The 24246-nt window shown below is 33.6% G+C and overlaps 1 protein-coding gene and 1 long non-coding RNA gene across 21 annotated transcripts in view; one reads left to right on the top strand and one right to left on the bottom strand.

Annotated features, from left to right (window-relative positions):
• Nucleotides 1-24246, top strand: part of PCDH15 (protocadherin related 15) — a 1825172-nt gene that overhangs the window by 1078005 nt on the left and 722921 nt on the right. For 13 of the 20 annotated variants that reach the window (XM_047425663.1, NM_001354420.2, NM_001354429.2 and 10 more), the window contains exon 3: nt 22061-22126. The exons of 3 other annotated variants lie outside the window; for them this stretch is intronic. In XM_047425663.1, the coding sequence (XP_047281619.1) occupies nt 22061-22126 (66 nt within the window). Of the gene's footprint in view, nt 1-21535; nt 21551-22060; nt 22127-24246 lie in introns of all 20 variants that reach the window. 4 more of the 20 variants (NM_001142771.2, NM_001142769.3, XM_047425664.1 and 1 more) reach the window with 1 other exon arrangement.
• The window catches only part of LOC105378311 (uncharacterized), a 169822-nt gene that overhangs the window by 106114 nt on the left and 39462 nt on the right, over nt 1-24246 (bottom strand). The window lies entirely within an intron of this gene.

Here is a 24246-nt window from a genome sequence, read left to right as displayed (position 1 = left end):
GCTATAAAGAAGGCCACTATACAGTAATTATAAAGGTTCAATTTACTAAGAAGATGTAGCAATTCTAAATATGCATGTACCTAGCTACATAGTTTAAAATATAAATTAAAAAATCGCAGACGTACAAAAATAATTTAACAAACATCACTGTAGAAGATTTAAACACATTATTGTCAACAATTGATAGATTAGCAGACACAATATCCTATCTCAATAAGATACTGAATATATCAAAATATACTTAAACTTTCCAGTGGACATATATAAAAACCTATACCAAAGGTATAGGTTTGATACTACTACTACTGTTAAGTTGTAGAACATACATTATTTTTAATAACAAATGAAACTTTAAAAATGGGCCATATACTAGGCATTAAAGAAGGTTTCGATAAATTTTACAAAAGAATCTATTAGTATACCCACATTCTCTGACATCTACATAAATTAGTAATTCAGTAATAAAAATATGTAAAATAAATACATTTGTATTTATTAAAACTATCTTTTAAATAACCTATGGGTAAAAAAGAAATCATAATTAGAAGACAATTGTAGCTAAATTACCACTAATATAAATTTTCAACATTTTTGAAATGTGATTCTAAAAGCATTGAGGGGGCAATTTATAGCCTTAACTTCTCATGGTTGAAAAGAAGAAAGGCTGAAAATCAACAAAATAAGCATCTATCTGAAATATTGTGTGTGTGTGTGTGTAAAGAAAAGAGAATAAGGACAAAGAAGATAAAAATAAATAATAAAAAACATAAAGTATCAAAATAATGCAGACTTAACAAAGCCAAGGATTATTTAATTTATAATTAAAATGAACAGGAAAAATAGAAATTAAAGAAAGAAGCCAAATAAATAATATTAAAACTGGTATTGCCGAAATTATAGCTGCAGAAGAGACTGAGATTTTTAGATAAAGATGATATGAAATATATATGTTAATAAATTGAAAAAAGTACAAAATAGACACATTTCTAGAAAAACATTAACTATACATAGCGACATCTGACATGATAGAAAACCTAAATTCTAGCACTAGCAATTATGTTTTCCCTACACAATAAACCCCAGGCTCAAAAAGTTTTATGGAAGAAATCCAAGAAACATCTAGGCAACAAAATTACAATGTTCTTCAGCCTTCAAAGACACAGGAAAATGTTGTCACCAAAAACCATAGAAAGTCAGGAGGGATAAAAATTTTCCTAAGAAATTATTAACAAATTGAACCAAGCAATGTTGTATATATATGTGAAACAAACATATGTATATATATTTATATAAGTATTATATATTTATATATAATATATACTATATATTAAATATATAATATAAATATATACAATAATATATATTATATAATAATTTATATAAGGCACATATACATATATATATAAAGGTACAGAAATGGATCCATAATATACCATGGAAAATAGAAGTATAAATAGGTGATATTTAGAGGTGAAAATGGATATAATTAACTTTCCTTAGTTTTTCAAATAATTTATTTCTCATGTGGAAAATTAAAATGGTTCTTCAACACTTAATAAATAATTACAATAGATAATTTCACATATATGGATGACATATATGAAAGACAAAAATCTAAAACTGTTAAAGGAAACTTAAGAAAAATATTTTTATGTCTCTATGATCAGTAAAGTTTCCTTAAATAAGCCACATTAAAAAACATGTGAGTATTTTATATATGTATAAAATATATAAGTATATACATATAAAATATAAATATAAAATGTAAATATATAAATATATATATAAAACATATATATATATGGGTTTTTTTTGGTTTTTTTGGTTTTTTTTTTTTGAGACAGAGTCTCGCTCTGTCGCCCAGGCTGGAGTGCAGTGGCGCATGTTTTCATTAAACACATGAGAAGTTGCCAAGTAGTCAGAAAAAAATGTAAATTTAAAAACATAAAATATCAAGTCTCAACAATCAAAATGACAAAAGTTTAATATCATATCAAATCTTATAGAAGATGGGGAGAAAGAGGAATTCTGAAATTGCTGGTAACTGAGAAAATGGCATAGCCAATTTGGAAAATAATTTGATTTTAACTAAGTAAATATAAATATATACTATACCCATGACACAGCACTTTTGTTCGTTCCTAAGGGTATGTCCTAAAATATTCCTCAAATTGTGCACCAAGAGAGATATGCCAGAATATGCATCTGGTCTTTGTTCATAATACAAATAAAAATTATTGCAACAGTAATCTCTCCAATAAAGAACAGGTAAATAGTGTGATCCAGTTATATAATGGAATACTTTACAGCATTATTTCCCTAAAGGTATATACATCAGTATGGATTAACCTAAAAACATAATAATGCAGAGAAATAGCCAAGTTGCAGAATTTGTGCTGTGTAAATCTATTTTATACAGCCCTAAAACTTGCAAAAGTCTATCAAAGTGCACACAGAAGATTTATAAGATAGTGGCAGGATTTTATTTCTGATTGTAGGTGGTGGTGACATAAATATTCATTTTATTGTAGTATTATTGATTTTTAAGCTCTACAAATATATCAGATACTCTATTGTGTGTCTGATATATTTGACATTTTAGAAAAGGTAAAACAAAATAATAGTAAACAAAGAGAATAGTGACAGAAGATGGATAGCAAGCCAGCTTGCTATGTATATAAAGCATTTTGTTTGAGAAGCAATAGGGTTAAATGTCATATTAAACTTCATCTATTTTATTGTATCTTTGAAAACTCTTATTAACTTCCTTTGTTCATGGTGGAACATATCTCACCGTGCAATGAATGGAAGAAAAATTGAGCAGAAAAATGGGAGAGTGCTTGAAGTTTTATAATATAGCAAATGCCAACAAATATTGACTGGAAGATAGCTCTTCCCTGGTTTGTATTTGCCTTTGATCTGAATATGAAGCTCCTGCCTACAGCTTTCCCACAATGTCATTACAGACTTCATGGAGCAGAAGACTCTAGCTCAGTTGCCCAAATGAATATGATGAAGTCATTGACACATTGAGATTCTCTCTGTCATATCACCATCAGTGCCATATGTCAAATTTCAAAATATGAATTGAGGAGAATCATGCGGTGTTGAAGGAGGTGTTAAGGAATAACTGTTGCTCTTCATGTATCAGATGAAATGACAACTTCTAGAAGTTTTCAGTGTGTGACACTGATAACAAGGCATATCCAATGGCTTAAGAAATTTTAAATCTAAATGTGTTTTAACAAAACAGATTTCACATTACAGTGTTTCTTACGTTATATTGTGATAAGGTTATTATTCTATTTAGAATCTTTGTGATATTTACTATAAGTATTCTAAACAAATGAAGTTCCTTATTTTTGCTTCCAAATTGTGTTTGTCATGTTTTCTTATAATAAATGCAATGCATTTATTTCTTATAAAAATGCAAAGGACACTATTTTCTTATAATAAATTCCTAAAAGCAATTTAGGAATTCAATAAGAAATCACTAATAACAATAATAATGTTTCATTTATTTAGTCTTTAATATTAAAAAGACTTTATATATTCACACTCAAAACTAAGAATGTACAGACAGTTCTAAAACCTGCTTTATAATTTTTTGACTTTCCATGAGAATTACTCATCCCATCAAAATTTATTTAACAACATGAATATATATTTTAATGGCTTATTCATTCATCCAATTTCATAGAATCCAGGTAGCCTCTTTCATCTGTAATGAATTTACTAATGTGGTCTAGTGACTTAGAAGCATCAGAAAACTAAGCTTGGATGCCACAGCGGCAAGATCATGAGAGCCAAATAGATACCTAACCACGAATCTGAACTTTCTAGTGGAAACCTCATAGGTACAATCCCCATCATGGCAACTATCATAACCTGGTGTTGCACTAATTTCTCTACCACAGCTGCCCCCAAAGAACCATACACTTCCTGCCCAGTGATTAACTGACTTCCCTTTGGCTCACTTGTTCCTTTATGTTCTTGTGTCATGAGAGTGTCTTCTGCTTCGCAGATTCCAAGGTAGACCCTATCCGCAAATGAGTCTGGCAAGTGCAGTTTTAAGTTTATCTGCCTCAATAGTGCACAAAAAGAAAAATACAAGAAGAGGTGTTAGAGTGGGTGGTCCAATATACAGTATCTGTCACAATTACAGAGTGTGTTTAAATCATAATGATTTAATAAACATATATAATGTTTTACTATTATAAGTACTTTTAGCAGCAATATATACTTCTTTAATTATCTCTATATTGCTATAGATCCCAAAGTAAAATTTTTCATTCAAAGGACAGTTTTTAAAAGTTCTTGGTATATTGGCTTTCCATTTTGTCTTCTTTCTCTTCCTTCCTTCCTTCCCTCCTTCCTTGCTTTCTCTCCTTTCTTTCTTTATATAGAAACAACTTATAGCTACACCAAAATTATAAAATAATTTTAATTCCTTACTTGAACCAATAGTGGCTATTATTTTTAATAAAATTTTGACAATTTGACAGAAGAAAAATATTACTTTATTTTAATTAACATTTGTTTTGGTTATAAGTTCCATGGATACAAATCTTTCTAAAATACATTGCATACTTTTCTATTATTTAAAGAGTTTGCATAAAATAAAAATTGTGATGATGAGTTACCATCATTAACATAACTGTTAATTAGTACAATCTGCAACAAAGTAGTATTGAAGCTATTTTAGTAGAGAAAGACATTATTTGCTCCAGACAGCTATGCTTTGTGAATTCTTATATCTACTGTAAAAATTTCTCTGTCCTTGCTCTAAAATTGGAAACATGCCTTCCTTTAGCCAGGTGTCTTTTTTTCCCACACATTCTCCACTTTTATTAGCATTTTCTAATCCATTCTGGGGCTTTCCCTTAGTGTCAAGTTCATGAACTTTAGAGTACAGACATTTGTGATTAGAGGGACTAAATTGATCTCATTTCCTAGGTCTTGTCTCTGATTATGATAATTGAAAAATTTTGAAAATCCCAACCTCCTGATGATAGACATATTACCAAAATTTATGGCATAAAGTCTAACAACAGAATAACAATTCTAGCACTGTACTCAAGTAAATTAATTTGAGGAGAGATATAATAAAATGCTGTTAATGTAACAGAAATTTTTAACAGATTAATTTCCACTCTTAGTAGTTTTACCCTCTTTTTGAACATAGTAGAGAAAACCATTGCGTGTATGCCGTTAGAACTAACAATACTGAAGGTGGAAGGCTGGTTTTATAGTAAGAAATCATATAGCTTGGAAAGCAATGAAGGAAGTTGTTATCAACTATAAAGTGCTCTTAGAGCTTACTGTTGGCAAAATGTATGATATATGCAAACACAATTAAATTAAATATGGAGTACCACCCTTGGGAAGGCCTCATAAATAGCAGCAGATATTCAAAATTGCAGGCGTCTGTATAGAAATTGTCTAAAATTGAGCCTATGAGAACTAAGCTCAGCAGGACATAAAACTTTCCACATCATATGTTATACATGTGGATAACAAACTATCAAAAACTTCATTTCTAAATGTCAAGGGTGGTAAAATACTTGTCTTAGCACTTTATTATATTCAGTTTTAGAGAATTCTTAAGAAAACTTCCAAGCTCCAAAAAATGCAGTTAATCAATAATGTGTTTTTATCCTTATGGCCAATATAAAAACTGTTATCCTAGCTCATTTTCCTTGAAGTAATTCATTTGTACATATGCATACTTCAGCATGTGGCCAAAGTCCCTTTTGCTAAACTTGCCAACAAAAGTTTTCTTTCACCCCAAGAAATGTCAGATCAAATTACTGATCTGACTTGGTTTGGATATTATTCTCTCAAGGTTTATGATGCAGAATGGGATTGTTGAAGTCAAAATAGAAATGTGGAGATGGATCTCTAAATTCAATGTTTTCTTTGAGAATAAAGAATCACAATTTGGAGCATACACACGGGTCAGGTGTTCTTCGGTATGTCTGAAGAACAAAGAGAAGGTTGGTGATTTTATAAAAATGAGAAATGTTATGTATTGCTCTTAGAGAAAGTGCATTGGGACTAGTAAGTTTCTGGGGAGCTGGCAAACTCTGTTTGGTGAGCAACAGCGGTGGGGAAAATTAGCCCTGGAGTTGCAAGTTGTCTCAGCAGTTATAAATAAAACTGTCTCGGGTTAGAATAGGCAGTTTCAACAGCCAGACTTGCAGAAAATTACGTTTCTAGAGCGATGCTACATGTCCTGATTTTTTTTCCCCTGGCTAGTCAACTTTCTTTTAATTGGGTGTGACAAGAATGATCCAAATCATATGATCAAATTTCATAGGCCAGTTCATTACATGAAATATTATTTTTAAAAACAGTTGACATAGGTAGACATCCATCCCTTGTCACTTCTTTATTGTGAAACAATGAAAACGAAATGGGAAAGGTTCCCTTGTCCTCCTCGCAGGGCATGCGTTGGGGGTGTGGATCGCTTCTTCAGTGCCCCGCTGCTCAAACCTCTAGGGGAGCATGCAAATGGGCAGGATGTGGGGCTCTGACCCCAGTGTCTAGGGATGAAGGCCCAGTAGGCATGTGTTACAGGGCATGTGTTTTAGTTTGCCATCTATAGGCGATTTGTGTTAACCAGCTTAATTAGACCCCCTTCCTTATCACAAGGACAGAGGGATTTCTGTATCCCGGGGTTTCTTGCCTTGGTGTACTGGAAGAATCGGATCACACGTGGGCTTGGAGAACAACTGCAAAGTTTTATTGAGTGGAAGTAGCTCTCAGCCAATGGGGGAGCCAGAAGGGAGATGGTTTTCCCTTGGAGTGGGCCATTCGGAGTTTTGGGGGGCCACGGCTCTCCTCCAACTTCCCCGGACCAAACTCCGCCTCCTTCCACCAGTGGGTGGCCTGCACGCGTGCCAGTGTCTGTCGGTGTGCTCTTCCGCTGGTGTGCTCCCTCGACATCCTTTTGGAGTCTAGGAGCCGCTTATGTCTTCTGCCAATGTGTTCCTCACCACATCCACCTGTATTTGTATCTGCCTGCTAGGGTCTTGGCTTTTTATAGGCCCAGGATGGGGGCATGGCAGGCCAGGGTGGTCTTGGAAAATGCAACATTTGGGCACAAAAGCAGGAGCGCCAGTCTTCACCTATGGAGCCCTAGCCAGGGACCACGCCCTTCTCCACTCAGCACTTCCCTTTCCCCCTTCCATGTCATTTAAAGGGACCACGCTCTTCCCTTCCCAGTACTCCCGTATCAAAAAGAACATAGGTTCATTTGGAACTTCCTGTTCTATATGAAACATTCCTCTGTAATGACTTTGGCTCTATGGCTCTAAGGAAGGTGTTATCAGGTGGGTTTGTAGCAGAGAAATTTCTGAGAAAGCAAGATGTGATGTATGGAAAAAGTAGGAAATATTTGCTTTATGCTTTCTGTTATTTTTTTCAGAATCATCTTCTTTCATAACTCTCAGCCACAGTCCCTACTCATTCCACCCTTGGATATTCACCTTTCATAGTAGAACCTCAGTCCAAACACTCTTCATGACAAGGAATAAGAAAATAAGGCAATGAAAAATACTTCTAAATTTCCAGTTACCTGTATAAACTCAAATATATAAACTTTCTCTGCCAGCCAGTGATACGAAGTACTTTTTCCTGCTATGTCTAACAACTTTCCTGCTTCACACATAAGTGAAAAATAGTTATATCCTAGATGATGAAACAGAAAGGTAAATATTAGCACAGTCTTCTGAAGTTCCAGAAATATAAGCCTATATTACTTCACTTAAGTAGGAAAATTGCTTCAACATCCCGTACCTTGTAAATGTGGCACATCTATTTCATGCTAACATCTGTCACAACTGGACAGCTAAGGACATATTTACATGGATATGTTCTTTAATAAGTAATTAAATGCTTATAATTTTTGTTTCAAAAATTAATCCATACAGTTTGCTTTTTTTAATGCAGCTTAAGTACACATAACTGTCTTGTGGCAAAGAATTTTATTTAGTAGTCAAAGTACTCTGCAAACAAAGACTTATTAAGAATCTCTCTGTTGGAAGAGTGTAATTTTAAACAGTGACATTGATTCTGCAGCTTTTATCTTTTGACCTTGTTGAGTGTCTTAGTAAGAATCATGATTAAGAATTTCCTCTGAGCCTCCTCATTAAGAATAATTAGAAAAAATAACAAATTAGCTTTCAGAAACAAGATGGAAATAAAAGCTGCTTTTCATAAAGTGTTTGATGAATAATTTTGTTTTCCACATGGACACAAATATTATCCTTTTCCTTTCTCCTTTATATTTCAATTACAAAACACAGAGACAAGTTGGATAATGTTGAAAAACAAGCTAATAACAGAAAAGTTCTTTTGGAAAGATTTTGGAATAACAGATCTTATTTCACCATGTAAAGAGCTTTTAGAAGCTGTATACTGTCTACTGTATGTATCAAAAAAGAGTTGTTTATTTTTAGTTTATTTATAAACATTCCTCAGATAATTTTTAAAAAGAAAGTATAGTTCCATTATCACTATGTAATTTAAACAATCGGTGGTTATATACTGAAATATATTAAGTCATGATTTTAGTATGTTAAATGCACATCAAAAATGTTAATATATTTTTATAGATTGAATTTGTATCCTCAAACTATACTGAAGCCATTTATCAGTTTCAGGAGCTTTTTGGTGATGTCATCGAGGTTTCCTGGTTATAGAAGAGATAGTTTGACTTCTTTAGTTTCGTGTTTGGGTACATTTTCTTTCTTTCTCTTGCCTGAATGCTGTAGTTAGGACTTCTAGTACTATGTCAAATAGAAGTGGTGAGAATGGAGAATGGTATCCTTGTCTTGTTCCAGTGCTTAAGGGGAATGGTTCCAGCTTTTGCGACATTTAGTTTAATGTTAGCTGTATTGTGTCATATATGGCTCCTATTATTTTGAGATATGTTCCCTTGATACAGAGTTTGTTGAGGATTTTTATCATGAAGAGATGTTGGATTTTATTGAAAGCTTTTTCTGCATCTACTGGGATTATCGTATAGTTTTTGGTTTTAATTTTGTTTATGTGATGAATCACATTTATTGAATTGCATATATTGAACCAATCTTGCATCCTAGGAATGAAGCCTACTTGATAATGGTAGATTAAGTTTTTTATGTGCAGCTTTATTTGGTTTGAAAGTATTTTGTTGAAGATTTTTGCATCTATGTTCATCAGGAATATTGACCTATAGTTTTCTTTGTTCCTTGTGTCTTTAACAGGTTTTGGTATCAGGGTAATGCTGGCATTGTAGAATGAGTTAGGGAGGAGTCTCTCCTCCTTGATATTTTGGAATAGTTTTAGTAGATTTGGTACCAGCTCTTCTTTGTACATCTGGTAGAATTCGGCTGTGAGTTCATCTGGTGTGGGGCTTTTGTTCGTTGGTAGGTTTCTTATTACTGAGTCAATATGGAACTCAATGTTGGTCTGTTCAGGGTTTTAATTTCTTCCTGATTAAATTTTGGGAGATTGTGTGTTTCCAGGAATATATCCATTTCCTGTATATTTTCTAGTTTGTGTGAACACAGGTGTTGATAATAGTCTCTGAGGATTTTTTTGTGTTTCTGTTGGACCAGTTGTAATGTCATCTTTGTCATTTATGTTGTGCTTATCTGGATCTTCTCTGTTTTGTTCTTTGTTTATATAGTCATATAGTCAGTGGTCTATAGATCTTATTCGTCCTTTCAAACAACCAACTTTTGGTTTTGCTGATGCTTTTATGGATTTTTATGCCTCAATTTTATTTAGTCCTGCCCTGATTTTAGTTATTTATTTTCTTCAGGTAGCTTTTGAGTTAGTTTGTTCTTGTTTTTCTAGTTACTCTAGATGTGGTGTTAGATCGTTAATCAGAGATTTTTCTAACTTTTTAAGGTAGGCATTTAGCACCATACACTTTCCTCTTAACATATCTCTTCCCACATCCCAGAGATGTTGGTATTTTGCGTGTCTTTCTTCATTTATTTAAAAGAATTTTTTAAAATTTCTGCCTTACAATCCAAAACTCATTCAGGAGCAAAGTTGCTTAATTTCTATATATTTGTGTGTTTTTGAGAGATATTCTTGTTATAGGTTTCTATTTTAATTCCACTGTGGTTGGTATGTGATTGGTATAACTTTGATTTCTTTGAGACTTGTTTTATGGAAAGACCTTCTTTTGGATTTTTTCCAACTTGCTTTATGGCTAACCATGTGGTTGATCTTAGAGTATATTCTGTGTGCAGATGAGAGGAATGTATATTCTGTGGTTGATATATGGAGTGTCCTGTAAACATCAATTATGCTCAATTTGTCAAGTGTCAAATTTAATTCCAGAATTTCTGCGGAAGTTTTCTGACTCAATGATTTGTCTAATGTTGTCAGTGGGGTGTTGAAGACCCCCACTATCATTGTGTGCTATGTCAGTCTTTTTGTAGGTTTAGAAGTCCTTGTTTCATGAATTTGGATGCTCTAATATTGCATATGTATATAGTTAGCATAACTAAGTCTTGTCTTTGAATTGAACCCTTTATCATTATGTAATGCCCTTCTTTGTTCTTTTTTATTGTTGTTGGTTTAAAAGCTGTTTTATTTGATATAACAATAGTGACCCTTGTTCCATTTGGTATTCTGTTTGCATGATAGATCTTTCTCCAGCCCTTTACTTTGAGCCTATGGGGATCATTACATGTGAGAAGCGTCTCTTGAAGATACCAGATGAATGGGTGTTACTTTATCCAACCCATCACTCTGTGCCTTTTAAGTAGGGCTTTTAGATAGTACGTCTAACCAAGAAGCTGAAAGACCTCTGTAAGGAGAACTGCACACTGCTGAAAGAAATCATAGATAACATAAACAAATGGAAAAAGCATTTCATACTCATTGACTGGAAGAATCAATATTGTTAAAATTGCCATAATCTCTAAAGCAATCAAGAGATTCAATGCTATTGCTACTGAACTTTCAATGCCATTTTACACAGAATTAGAAAAAATTCTGAAATTCATATGGAACCAAAAAGAACCCAAATAGACAAAGCAATCTGTAGTAGTTCATTGTTGCATCATTATAAAGAACTACCTGAGACTGGGTAATTTATAAAGAAAAGAGGTTTAATTGGCCCTTGGTTCCACAGGCTGTACAGGAAGCATGGCTGGGGACATGGCCAAAGTAGGAGGAAGAGAATGAAGGGGAAGGTACTACATACTTCAAAACAACCAGATCTTGTGTGAATTCACTCACTATCACAAGAACAGCAAGGGCAAATCCTACACCCATGATCCAGTTTTATCCCACCAGCCCCTCCTCCAACATTGGAGGTTAGAATTTGACATGAGATTTGGATGGGGACACAAGTTCAAACCAAAGCACAATCCTAAGCAAAAACAACATAGCTTTTTTTCAAACTATACTCTAAGGCTATAGTACTGGTAACAAAACATGTTATTGGTACAAAATAGACACATAGACCAATGAAACAGAAAAGAGAATCCAAAAAGAAAGCCACATACCTACAATCATCTGATTTTTGACAAAATTGACAAAAATAAGGAATGGGGAAAGTACCCCCTATTCAACAAATGGTGCTGAGTTAACTGGCTAGCCACATACAGAATTAAACTGGACCCTTACTTTCACTATCTACAAAAATTAACTCAACATGCATTAAAAGTTTAAGTGTAAGACCTCAAGCTGTAAGAATCTTAAAAGGAAGCCTAGGAAACACTATCCTTGATGTTTGCATTTACAAAGAATTTATGGCAAGTCCTCAAAAGCAATTGCAACAAAACCAAAAATTGACAAGTGGGACCTACATAAACTAAAGAGCTTCTGCCCGACAGAAAAGACTATTAACAGAGTAAAAATACAACCTACACAATGGTAGAAAGTATTTTCAAACTATGCACCCGCAAAGGTCTAATCTCCAGAATCTATAAGAAACTTAAATAATTTAACAAACATAAACCAAATAACCACATTGAAAAATTGGCAAAAGACATGAACAGACTTCTCTCAAAAACAGACATACAAGCAGACAACAAACATGAAAAAATGCTCAACATCACTAATCATCAGAGAAACGCAAATCAAAACCACAATGAGATACTACCTCACACCAGTCAAAATGCTATTATTAAGAAGTCAAAAAACAAAAGATGCTGGTAATGCTGCACAGAGAAGGGAATGCTTGTATACTCTTGGTGGGAATGTAAATTAGTTCAGCCAATGTGGAAATTTGGAGATTCTCAAAAACCTTATGGTTTTTGGTTTTAATTTTGTCCATGTGATAAATCACAATTATTGAATTGCATACATTGAACCAATCTTGCATCCTAGGAATGAAGCCTACTTGATAATGGTAGATTAAGTTTTTTATGTGCAGCTTTATTTGCCTTGGAAGTATTTTGTTGAAGATTTTTGCATCTATGTTCATCAGGAATATTGACCTATAGTTTTCTTTGTTCCTTGTGTCTTCGACAGGTTTTGGTATCAGGGTGATGCTGGTATTGTAGAATGAGTTAGGGAGCAGACTCTCCTCCTTGATATTTTAGAGTAGTTTCAGACTTGATACCAGCTCTTCTATTAGACTCACAATCCTATTACTGGTTATATATCTAAAAGAAAACAAATTGCGGCCGGTCGCGTTGGCTCAGGCCTGTAATCCCAGCATTTTGGGAGGCCGAGGCGGGCGGATCACAAGGTCAGGAGATCGCGACCATCCTGGCTAACACGGTGAAACCCCGTCTCTACTGAAAATACAAAAAAATTAGCTGGGCATGGTAGCGGGCGCCTGTAGTCCCAGCTACTCGGGAGGCTGAGGCAGAAGACTGGCGTGAACCTGGGAGGCGGAGCTTGCAGTGAGCTGAGATCGCACCACTGCACTCCAGCCTGGGCGAGAGAGAGACGCCGTCTCAAAAAAAAAAAAAAAAAAAAAGGAAACAAATTGTTCCACCAAATAGTCACATGCACTTGTATGTTCATTGCAGTACTATTCACAATAACAAAGACATGGATTCAATGTAAGTGCCCGTCAACAGTGAATTGGATAAAGGAAACGTGCTGCACATGCACCATAGAATTCTATGCAGCCATAAAAATAGAATGAAATCATGTTGTTTGCAGCCACACGGATGCAGTTATAGGCTGTTATCCTAAGCAAGTTAACACAGGAACAGAAAAACCAAATAATTCATGTTCTCACTTATATGTAGCAGCTAAACATTGCATAGCCATGGGCATAAGGATGTCAGTAATAGACACTGGACATCTAGAAAAGGGGAGAGGGTGGAAGAGGGACAAGTATTTAAAAAACAACTATTGAGTGCTGTGCTCATTACCTGATGATGGAATCAATCATATCCCAAACCTTACAGTATACCCAGATAACAACCTGCATATTGTATACCTCCTAAATATAAAAGAAAATTTGAAATTATTTTTTAAAAAGTTAACATATGCCCCATTCCTTATTTGATCTACTAATAAAATGTGGTTTTCCTTTGAATGTTAAAAATGGAAGAAACTTCTACTGAAATATTAAAAAAAAAAATGACAGTCATTGCTTTTTAAAAAACAGACATATTTTAAGTGATTTGCTCACTTGGTTAGAATAAAAATTTACCTCACAATAACATAGAAAGCATTTCCATATGCCAGACACTACTCTAAAACAACATCTATTTTACAAATAATGCAACTGAGCTACAGAAAATTTAATTAACTTTCAAAGGTCCTAAGAGTGAGCAAGGTGTTAAATGTGACTAGTATTTAACCTAGGCAGTCTGTCTCAAAGGCTATGTTCTTAACCACAACATTATATGGCCTCTTTTGATGTCAGTGGTAATATTACACCTTGGACCAAGAATTGTTCTGTTCATCTTAAATTCCTCAAATTGAATCATGGTTGCTTGCTGGAAGCTTAGACAAGAAAAGAAGAGTTGTAACCCACAATGGAAGGAAAACCTAAACAGTTTCTAACTCATGTGGTATGAATTATATGTAAGAGAATTATGTATGAATACAAAGATTAACATGTTTTGACAATGTATTTACATAAAACTATAAAATAAAGTACAATAATATTTTCAATCAACAAAAGCAATCTTAAAATTATATACTTCATCTTTGGAGCAGCCTTCTACTGACAATTTATTTCATATTCTGCCTTTTTCCTAAAGCCCCTAGAACCTTAAACTTCTTTTTTTTTTTTTTTTTTTTTTTTTGAGGTGGAGTCTCGCTCTGTCTGCCAGGCTGGAGTGCAGTGGCACCATCTCAGCTCACTGCAAGCTCCACCTCCTGGGTTCATGCCATTCTCCTGCCTCAGCCTCCCGAATAGCTGGGACTACAGGCGCCCGCCACCACGCCCAGCTAATTTTTTGTATTTTTAGTAGAGATGGGGTTTCACCATGTTAGCCAGGATGGTCTCGATCTCCTGACCTTGTGATCCGCCTGTCTCGGCCTCCCAAAGTGCTGGGATTACAGGCGTGAGCCACCGCATCCGGCCAAACTTCTTAAGACTAAGTATGGGCTTCTGGTCTCTGACCAAATGCCATTTATGTTCAAGTCTGCTGTTGTTGATAGACCAGTTAGAATAAAATAAAATAATAAGAAATTGTTTTTTTTAAAAGTACAGATTGAGGTAGCTATGGTCTCTAGAGTAAATTGTATTGATGAAAGCAATGATGTTGAGTAATTACCATGAATGAATTTGGTGGATATTACTAGACAATGTTGTTTTAAAGTCTTCATCAAATTATATAATTCAATTAATAATGACACTAAGGTACATAAAATATCATTTGCTCCCTTCATGGTGAAATCTGAAATCTGCAAATAGTAATGCCAAGAGAGTAACACAAGTAGCATATCCTGTTCTTGAATTGGAACTGAATTACTTGCTCTGTCCTTAAATTTACTCAGTTTATTTTGCTTTTGTTCTATCATTGTCTTTTTCCATTAGTTTGTTGACTGTAACTTTAGATCATACAAGTTAGATTATTGTTCCATTGATTTTATAAATTCAAGATCAAACTTTTTCTTTTGGATGAAGCAGTCAAAATGTAAAATAAGTAGTATCTGTCTTAAGATTTCACTCCTGTGTGTATTTTCCTGAAAATGAATATACCAAAGATCAACAGGAAAAATGAGAAAAGTCCCTCTCCTGCTGCTTGTGACATGCAAATTGAAAACAGAATGCTTGTGTAGCATGAAATTTAAAGAGAACACAGTACCTTCTTTGAATGAGGTGCCAAATTGCTTTGAACTTAGCAATAGATTCAGTGTGTGTGTGTGTCTGTGTAAATACAAACACATGAGCAAGAGACTAGATTACTCTGAATAACGAAACAGATAATAGAGAAATGTTGGCAGGAATAGAGGTTTCACAAAATCTGCAACTCTTCCTTGATCTTTCTGTGGAATCTCACCAACTCATATCAGGGGCATACTGGGACCAGTAGAGGACTGTGAGAACCCCATTACTTTTTTTAAGCTTCAAGTTCAAGGAGTCTATTTTTCCCTAGTAAATTTAATCCATCAGAGTATATCTAGCTTGGTATCTGGGATAGGAATTCAAGCAAATTTTTGTCCCTACAGACCACCAGTGACATTTCATGTAATTACTTTTATTCTTAATAACAATATATTTCACAATCCCATATATAACTAAGATCTGCCCTCACTGAATATTTGGGAGAGCTGAGGGTTTATTTACTATATTTACTATCAGCCCTTGCATGAAAGGAAAAAAATAGAAAAAACATTTTATTCGAATATATTCCTAATGAAAATAAGGATACTAATAAAAGCAAATGTAGGCCTAGTCTGTCTATACATTTTGCCAGACACTCTTCTAAGAAATTACCATAGATTTCCTCATTTTGTCCTTGTTGTAAAAATATATGAGTTAGTTGTAATTACTCTTATCCCCATTAATGAAATACAAGAGGTTAAATAATTTGTCCAATATTATACAACTATTAAAAACCAAAGTTAGGATTTGAAGTTAGGTTTTGTGACTCCAAAGCACATGTTCACAACCACTATAATATATTAGAAACCCATTTCTTTAACATCTTAAAACACTCCCCCAAAGATTTGAAATGGTTAAAGCTAAGGATTTGATGGATTATTCATTTTGTTAATTTTCCATAGAGGAAGATATTTCCTAATTCAGCAAATAAATTAAATGATTATGTTAAGTCAAATACTCTACTAGGTGCCACAGAGTTCACTGGTGATTTAGGCAGCTTGTAAGGAAATAGCTTAAAAATTCTAAGATGACAAAAAAAAGGTAAGTTGATCTTTGATATAATTTAAACTTTAGTATTTGAAATTTCTTAGTTTTATTCCTTTAAGATACAGTTTGGTAAAATCATAAAACATCTTGGAATTCTAATAGAAATTATAGACATTTGGAAGCAAGTGAACATTTTCTCCTTTTTTTTCATCACTTTACTTTGTCTATTATTGTGAGCTCTCTCTAATCTTTCATAACTTGTTCCAAATAACCTCAAATTCTTGCAGAATTATCTACACCTTTCTTACTTTATTGGTAGCCTTTCACATCTGCTGAGTTGTCACCAATGACCTTATCTTTAGACAACAAATTATCTGTCAATTTTTTCCTCATTACAGTAAGTCTTCAGTTAATATTGTCCGTAGGTTCTTGGAAATTGAGACTTTCAATGAAATGACATAAAATGAAACCAATTTTATTTTAGGCTAAACAAAATATAAACAAGTTCCTATGACATAGTTATGGTTACAAAAACATCACCACACTTCTAAATAAAGACCAAAAATTTCTTATATTAAATATTGAAGTAAATGTGAGCTATACATGCATTTAAGAAAGATTAATCAAAAAAAGTGAGATAATTATTTACCAGTTCAGGGCCTCCCATCAGGGAGCCTGCTAGCCCAGTACCTCAGGGCATAAGGCAGGAACCCACCTTGGACAGGATACCATTCCTTCTCAGGGCAACTCACACACACACCCACACTCACTCACACTGGTACCATGTAGCCATGCCAATGAACCTAGCATGTACATCTTTGAGATGTGGGAGGAGACTGGAGTACTCAGGGAAAGTCCTCACAGATTTGGGGAGAACTTGCAAAATCCACACAGATAGTGGCTCAGGCCTGGAATTAGTTGTTTTTTTTTTTCATTGTTATAATGAAATGACATTGAATGAAACAATGTCATTCAAGGACCTGCTGTACTTGCACTTGAGAAAGACATTTGAAAAATTAAAAAGAAAAAAGGGAATTAATGTACAGAGTGTTGTTTTAATTTTATTGTTACAAATTTGATTGAGGCCCTTTGTTTTTGCATTCAGTAAATAATTGCTTGGAATCAAAAATGTGCCAGGAAAATCTGCCCTGTGGACACAACCGTGAGGAATAGAAACAAGGTCAATGTTATCACTGAGTTTTCTTTCTGTGAAGAATCAAGTAATCATAAATTGATATTATGAGGCAGAGTTATGAGAGTATATATTGGGAAACCTTACCTAGTCAAGGGATCAAAAACTATTTTGCTTTGGGAAAAGAGGGACATGGAAATAGATGAGACTGGAGAGGGAAGGAGAAGGCATATTGTGGAGGACTTTGTAGGTTATATAAAATATGTTAGTTTACATTCTAGAATCATATTTGTGATGAGTTGTAGATGGCCAAAATATTTTAGCTTATAACCTAAAATAAATGGTAAATTCTTTTAAAAATAAGCAAGGTTTTAATTATAAAGATCACTCTGCTTAAAGACAGAAAATTAACTCAGAGTAAGGGCAAGATTGATTGTAAGGAAAGCAGTTAGGAAAACCTATTTGATTAGGTAAGAGACAAGATTAGCCTGGTACCACTGCAGATTGAAAGCAGTGAGTGGATATGACAAGTTTTTCTTTAGGAATTAAATTCAAGACTTATCGATCGGTACATTTTGGAAAGCTAGAAACATGGGTAAAATGAAATGTGACTTCCTGGTTTCTGACTTATGTGGCTTGGTGCAGAATTATGCCATTCACTGAAATAATATATATTGAAAATATCCAGTTTTCGGCTATGATAGCAACTGGGATGCGATTTGGAGGGCTACATTTAAGACAACTTTGAAATTGCAAGTACAGAAGTTGTCTGGGCAAATGGGACCCAGGCTCAGAAGATAAATATGGGTAGGAAATTCAATACACAAGTTATTAACATATAAGGGCAATTACTATGTTAATATATTTTTTAAAGTAAATAGTTTTGAAGTCTTATTGAAAACACATTGATCAACGTTAAAAGAACATTTTGAGAATAGGCTAAAGTGGGAATAGAATTTGAATTCCTGGGTGCTTGCTCTCATTTCTACGAAATGAGCATATTCGGAAAATCCTAGATTTTCAAAAGCCTTTGTCTGACCTGTCTGTAACATGCTCTTAAAATTCAGGCTACAATGACAACAGAGTATCACAGGCTTAGTATCTGTGAGATCAGTCATTATTTGTCTTTTTAATTCTCCTCTTTGGATTTTAAATCCCATCTATTGCATATGAATATTTTTAAATATATGGCTTATTTTTAGCATTGTGACAAGTTTGCAGAAATAAGCCACACTGAGCATTCAGTTATTGGTATTCATATCCTGTACTTTACCACAAATTGGATATGGAAAATGAGTATAGGCCTAACAGGCTAGAAACTTTAGGCATGAAAAACAATGAATTTGTGATTTAACCAGGACAGTCAAGGGTGAAATTAAATAGATTAAGGAAGTCCATTTCCAGGGTACAGGTATCAGCAGCTCACCTGACTTTCCTGTGGCAGACAGATGATCCACAGACCATAGGGTACAATCTCCCCATCCCCCAAATTGCTTTCTAGTCTTCCCTTTGATTTACATTTGGATATTTTCATACATAATATATAGTTGGCTATTACATCCAAATTACTTTCTTTCCAAGACAATTCTAAATATAATTGTTCTTATTAAAAATGCTTTTGTGCACTTCAAAACTAATTAATTATGCTGTCGTGAATGCATCGTTTAAAAACAAACACTTTGTTATGAACAATGTTATTAATAGATTATTTATTATGTGTCTGCTTAACCTCTTTTCATTTTGTGTTTTGAGTCTTAAAAAAGTTTAAATTATTTTTGTATTTATCCAGAAGTATATGTAGTATATAAAGAATGTTTTATTGGGGAGAATTTTGAATCTACTAAAATAATAAATCGTAGTGGGAATTATCTAAGGGTACTGTAGCAGGAGAAAATGTAGTTAAGCAGCTTCTTCTGGGCTGTTTCTGCTATTGAGGGGTTAGTGAGAACAGAGACTTCTGAGCTGCTCTCATGGAGAGGTTTTAATGGAAGATTGTAGCTTAGCAGACTACATTGTGGAAAAAGTCAACAAACATTCTTTCAGGACCAGTATCATGTTCTGAGGTTACCAAGGTGAAAATGATGCAGGCATGGTCTGAAGAAGCTCTTGTGAGAGAGAAAGACACATTAGTATTGTGCCAATGGGGCAATTAGTCCAATGGGATACAGTGTGTACTGCAGGAATACAGAGAATAAGGACTTAATCTAGAATGACAACGAGAAGGATTTTCAAGAAGAGGTGATGCGTAGGCAGATTCCTGAAAAAGGAATAAAATTAACCAGGGGAAGAAGAGTGGAAAGTATATTTTAACAGTTGATGCAAAAAACATAAATTTGGTTTGGTATGAATGGAGAATTAACTTTGAGAATGGGAAAGGCGGAGAGTGAGGAAGGGCTGGAATATGAAGATATTATTTGGCTTAGCTTCATAAAGCCTACTTTTAAACTTAATAGTAACAAACTGTAAAAAGGTTCAAAAATATTTATATCCAAATTTCCCCTTCTTTTATTATTCTATATTCTGCTTGCCCATAAAGTTGTTGATTAAATATTTATTCCTCTACCAACATTCACACTAAAATACATAATTTTTATCTATTTTCAGTAGGTATTATGGCATTGGCACACAGTGACATGAGTGTGTGTATATGTGTGTGTGTGTACATATGAGAGAGTGCATACCTTACAATACAGTGCTTTCCAAAGCCTAATTATTCATTTCTATGTACATAATAATTGGAGGAATTTTATAAAACAGTAAATAAATAAAGAAATGTTGAAATCATTTTTCAAGTAACATGAAAATTTGGAAGGCTTTAATCAAAATTAATTCGCACTAGGTGCAAATATGTGAAATATCTAATTCTACAAAAAGAAGCAGAGATTTGCTAGGCAAAAAAAGGCAACAATGAATTTAGATAACAAAATTTTGCTAAAAATACAGGCTACATTCCAGCAACAGTAAGAGGATTCATGTAATTGAAGGACAGGTTGCTTAATTCTCAATAAAGGATGTTAAGGCCATGTGAAGAAACTTTGTTCTTCTGATTTTTTTTTCATTTTCTCCAAAAGAAACATGTAAGGTTTTTGTTCAGAGGAATGCTATTATTTCACTTTTGATTTGGGTACATGAAAATCATTCTCATGAAAGGAATAGATGAATGCAGGATGAGAACAAGACTTCTGGGAGATCAGCGAGGAAACTAAATCAAGAGCAGAGATGACAAATAGTGTAGTGCTGGGCTCTGTAGGAGGGCATAAGGAGAGGAAGAGGCGTAATGAGTGTGAGATATTTTAGATCTGAAAATGTTATGACTTGGAACTCCTTCAATATTGACAAGTGTAAAGAGAGAAAATGTGTAGATCTCCCAGCTTCTTTGCTTCATATGAGAGCGTACATACCTTACAATACAGAATAGTGCTTCCTGAAGGCCTAATTATTCATGTATATGTACATAATAAATGGCAGAATTTTAATAAGTAAATAAACCTTGAAATTATTTCCCAAATAACACACAAATTTGGAAAACTTCAAGCAAAATTAATTTGCACTGCTGTACAGGAGTGTGCCATGTATGTATAACTGCATGACATAGCCCTCTCTGCCTCACAAAGTATTTCCTAGTAGAGTACTTTATGTCTCAGAGGTGCACATTTGACATCCTGCAGGCAAAGTTTTCACATTTCAACTGTCATGGATATTATAGCTCATACTATTTTTTATGTTCATTATCATGTGATACCTGGAAGGATATTAGCAGTGTTTGAAATAATGAATTAATCATCACTACTGATTGACAGGCACTATTCTTAAAGTTTTTTCAGCATACAGATAACAGACTGTTCATAAGTAATTCGTATTTACCTTTTCGTAAGAAAAATACCAATTTACTTTATGTTATTTTCTAGTCTTTTTTGTAACGGCTTTTAAAATGCTAATGATGTGTATTATCCAGTGAATGTGTTAACATTATATTAGAAGTAGGAAATCTGATAGGGATTTTATATATTCTATTTCCACAAATCATTAGATAATGTTATTGTATAATGCTTTTTATATCCTTAAATCTCTCACTAAATATATACATATATTCTCTCTTCCTTTCTTTCTTCCATTTTTCTGATCTGCTTCCATTGATGACTCTATACTTTTGACTCCAGACTGGCAATATGAGGGTAAGATGACAAAAATAAAAACCCCAAACAACCTCATGAGCATTGCTTGTCTGTCTTTGTTTTATTCTCTTTAGAACATTATTAAAATTCTATTCACTCTCTCTAATTAGACCCTTTATCACAATTAAAGTCCAATTATGTTTGTTTCTGTTGTGATGCTTTAATTACAATTTATCCTTGTTAATCATCCCTTTCTGTTATTTCTTTGGGTTAAATTTCCATCCCATTATCTCTGTCCTGAAGGACTTCTGCTCTCCAGTGGTCCCTGCTGGTGTTTTCTCAGTAAGATTTGAGTAGTTTTGTGATGCACAAAGTGACTGTATTATGATGTGGTAAGGAATCTATGTGGTTATTATAAAATGTTTTTAAATAATATTAATTGTAGTGATGCATATTAATTAGATTGCAAGATTTTCCTTTTTAAATATTAATATACATCTCAATGAATTTTTTTCTCATTGTGTGTGCCCCTGCAGTCAATTATTACTTTTGGTTATTTTCTCTCTTTAGATTGCAAACTAGCTAGGGGAGGACCACCAGCTACCATAGTTGCTATTGATGAAGAAAGTCGGAATGGTAAGTGAGTTTTTTATTTTACAAATGTCTTATCTAAGAGGGTTTTCTTCAGATTTTAATTCTCAATCTACTATGAGTAGAGGTACTAAAATGAAAGTTTCAACCCAAATCCATGGATAATTCCCCTCCAGTATGGGTTTAAATTATGCCAGTCTCTGGAAATTCATGCTTTACTTGGAATAATTTATAAAAGTCTCATTCAATTAATATAAATATTTAGTTTTGGTTTAAAAGAAATTATTTGATTCAGAGTCATCTCAAGAATGCATCCAGATATGGGCTGGAAGTTGACTATCATGTGTATAGTCATCTAACAGAAACACAACGTATTCCTCCAAAGAAGTGGTCCACAAAATAAGCCTTACATTGCTAACTTCTATTGGCTGGGATCTGGTAAGGATCTAGATCCACAGCCGATTAGACATGGTGATTGTGACTGATTAATAGGAAAACCTAATGTGCTTAGAAAGCGGGAACATGAAATAAGGCCAAGAGCAGAGAAAGAAGTCTGAATTTTCACTTGGGCCTTCTGAAGTAATTAACAATTAATATCTAATTCATACCAAGTTCTTCTTTGGAAAAACTTTTTTTCCTTATCATTAGTGTTTTTGTTCTGCATCGGCCACCTTGACTCTCTGAACGTTAATGTAGAAATATTGAAAGTGTTTTCTCCTCAACTGGGCAGCAGTAAAATGGTTATCTCTTGGGACTCTGTTTCTATTTTAAACTAAGTATGTAAATGTGGTCTGTGGCTCATTTTGTCTGCTAATTACATGATAGACTCTTCCATTAAGCTTGTACCTAATATTTGTTCTAAAGTATGTGCTTGCACTTTCATATTTTTTACAAAATAATTGTCAGTTGCCTTATTAGAAAGTGACCTTTTTCTTGTAACTCAATCTACACGCGTACATGTACTTTGGAAACCTGTATAGGCAATTCCTGCATCAGTTACTTCTTCATGATTGATTTTGCTGCATTACAGATGCTCCTTTTACTCATTTAAAGAATTGACGCAGATGTATATTCCCACACATTCTGTGAAATCACTCAGAAATATCTACAGTACTGCTGGCCTCTGATTAAACAAATTTAAGTATTAATAAAATATTTGCCACATTAAGTAATTACAAAAATGTGAACATTTTGATTATGTTTTTAAAATCTATCCTTATTCATAATAAAATCATATGGAGTTACAGTTATTATGATGCATTTATGTAAGTTGGAAATAAATCCCAAATGTGTCTACAGTAGAGAAAAAATATTAAAATACTATAAAGTAAAAGATATATGAAAAAAGATTCTCTGTTACAGTGATGAATTATGGCTTCCTTATGGCTAACTATTTTTAAAGAAAGAAATCTATATTTTCTAAATATTCCACAGTGAAAACAGTTAACCTTTTTAACCAGAAATAAAAATTCAATAAACATAATGCAAGGTTTATCAACAATTTCTTTTCTAATTGTTAACCAATTCATTTGAAAATGTAAGCTGGGCTGAAATAAAACATTTAGTTTTCCTAAGCAAATTTGTTTTAATGTGTGATTCTGTATAGATAGAGCTTATTTTGCCAACTAGGTAATTATAGCAACAGCAATGATGATAGTTTATTTCCTTTTGTGCTGATTAGATCCTACTTTTCAAAGGAGCTTAGGAACTCTACGAAGATGTTGCCATAGCACTGCTGTACAGTAGCAGGTGGTAAAAGTTCAATATTTGTGTTTTAGAAGAAAATGACATGATATAGTATACTAATGTTGTGCTCCTTACTTGGCATATTTTGTAGAAACTGCCAACTACTCAGAAAGCTGCCAGAGTTATTTAAGTCATCACAAGAAGTATAAATACTGATCTAGAGAGTAAATGTTTTGCATTTCTCTTTTGCATTAAATTTCTAAAAATATGGTGATCAAATGAACCTCTGCCAGATATTATAATGTAGTGCTTTAATCATTTTTGTCTTAAAAATCTAAGGGAAACAATCCATGCAAATGTTTTTATATTTTTCTTTAGGCAATCAAAACTTCCCAATGACACAATTATTTTTGGCCATGTTGGGTGGCTCATGCCTGTAGTCCCAGCATTTTGGGAGGCTGAGGCAGCTGGATTGCTAG

This window comes from Homo sapiens, chromosome 10 (genome assembly GCF_000001405.40).
Source record: "Homo sapiens chromosome 10, GRCh38.p14 Primary Assembly".
Taxonomy (NCBI): Eukaryota; Metazoa; Chordata; class Mammalia; order Primates; family Hominidae; genus Homo; species Homo sapiens.
Note: the sequence above shows the minus strand (reverse complement) of the source record. Positions and strands in the feature narration are given on the sequence as shown.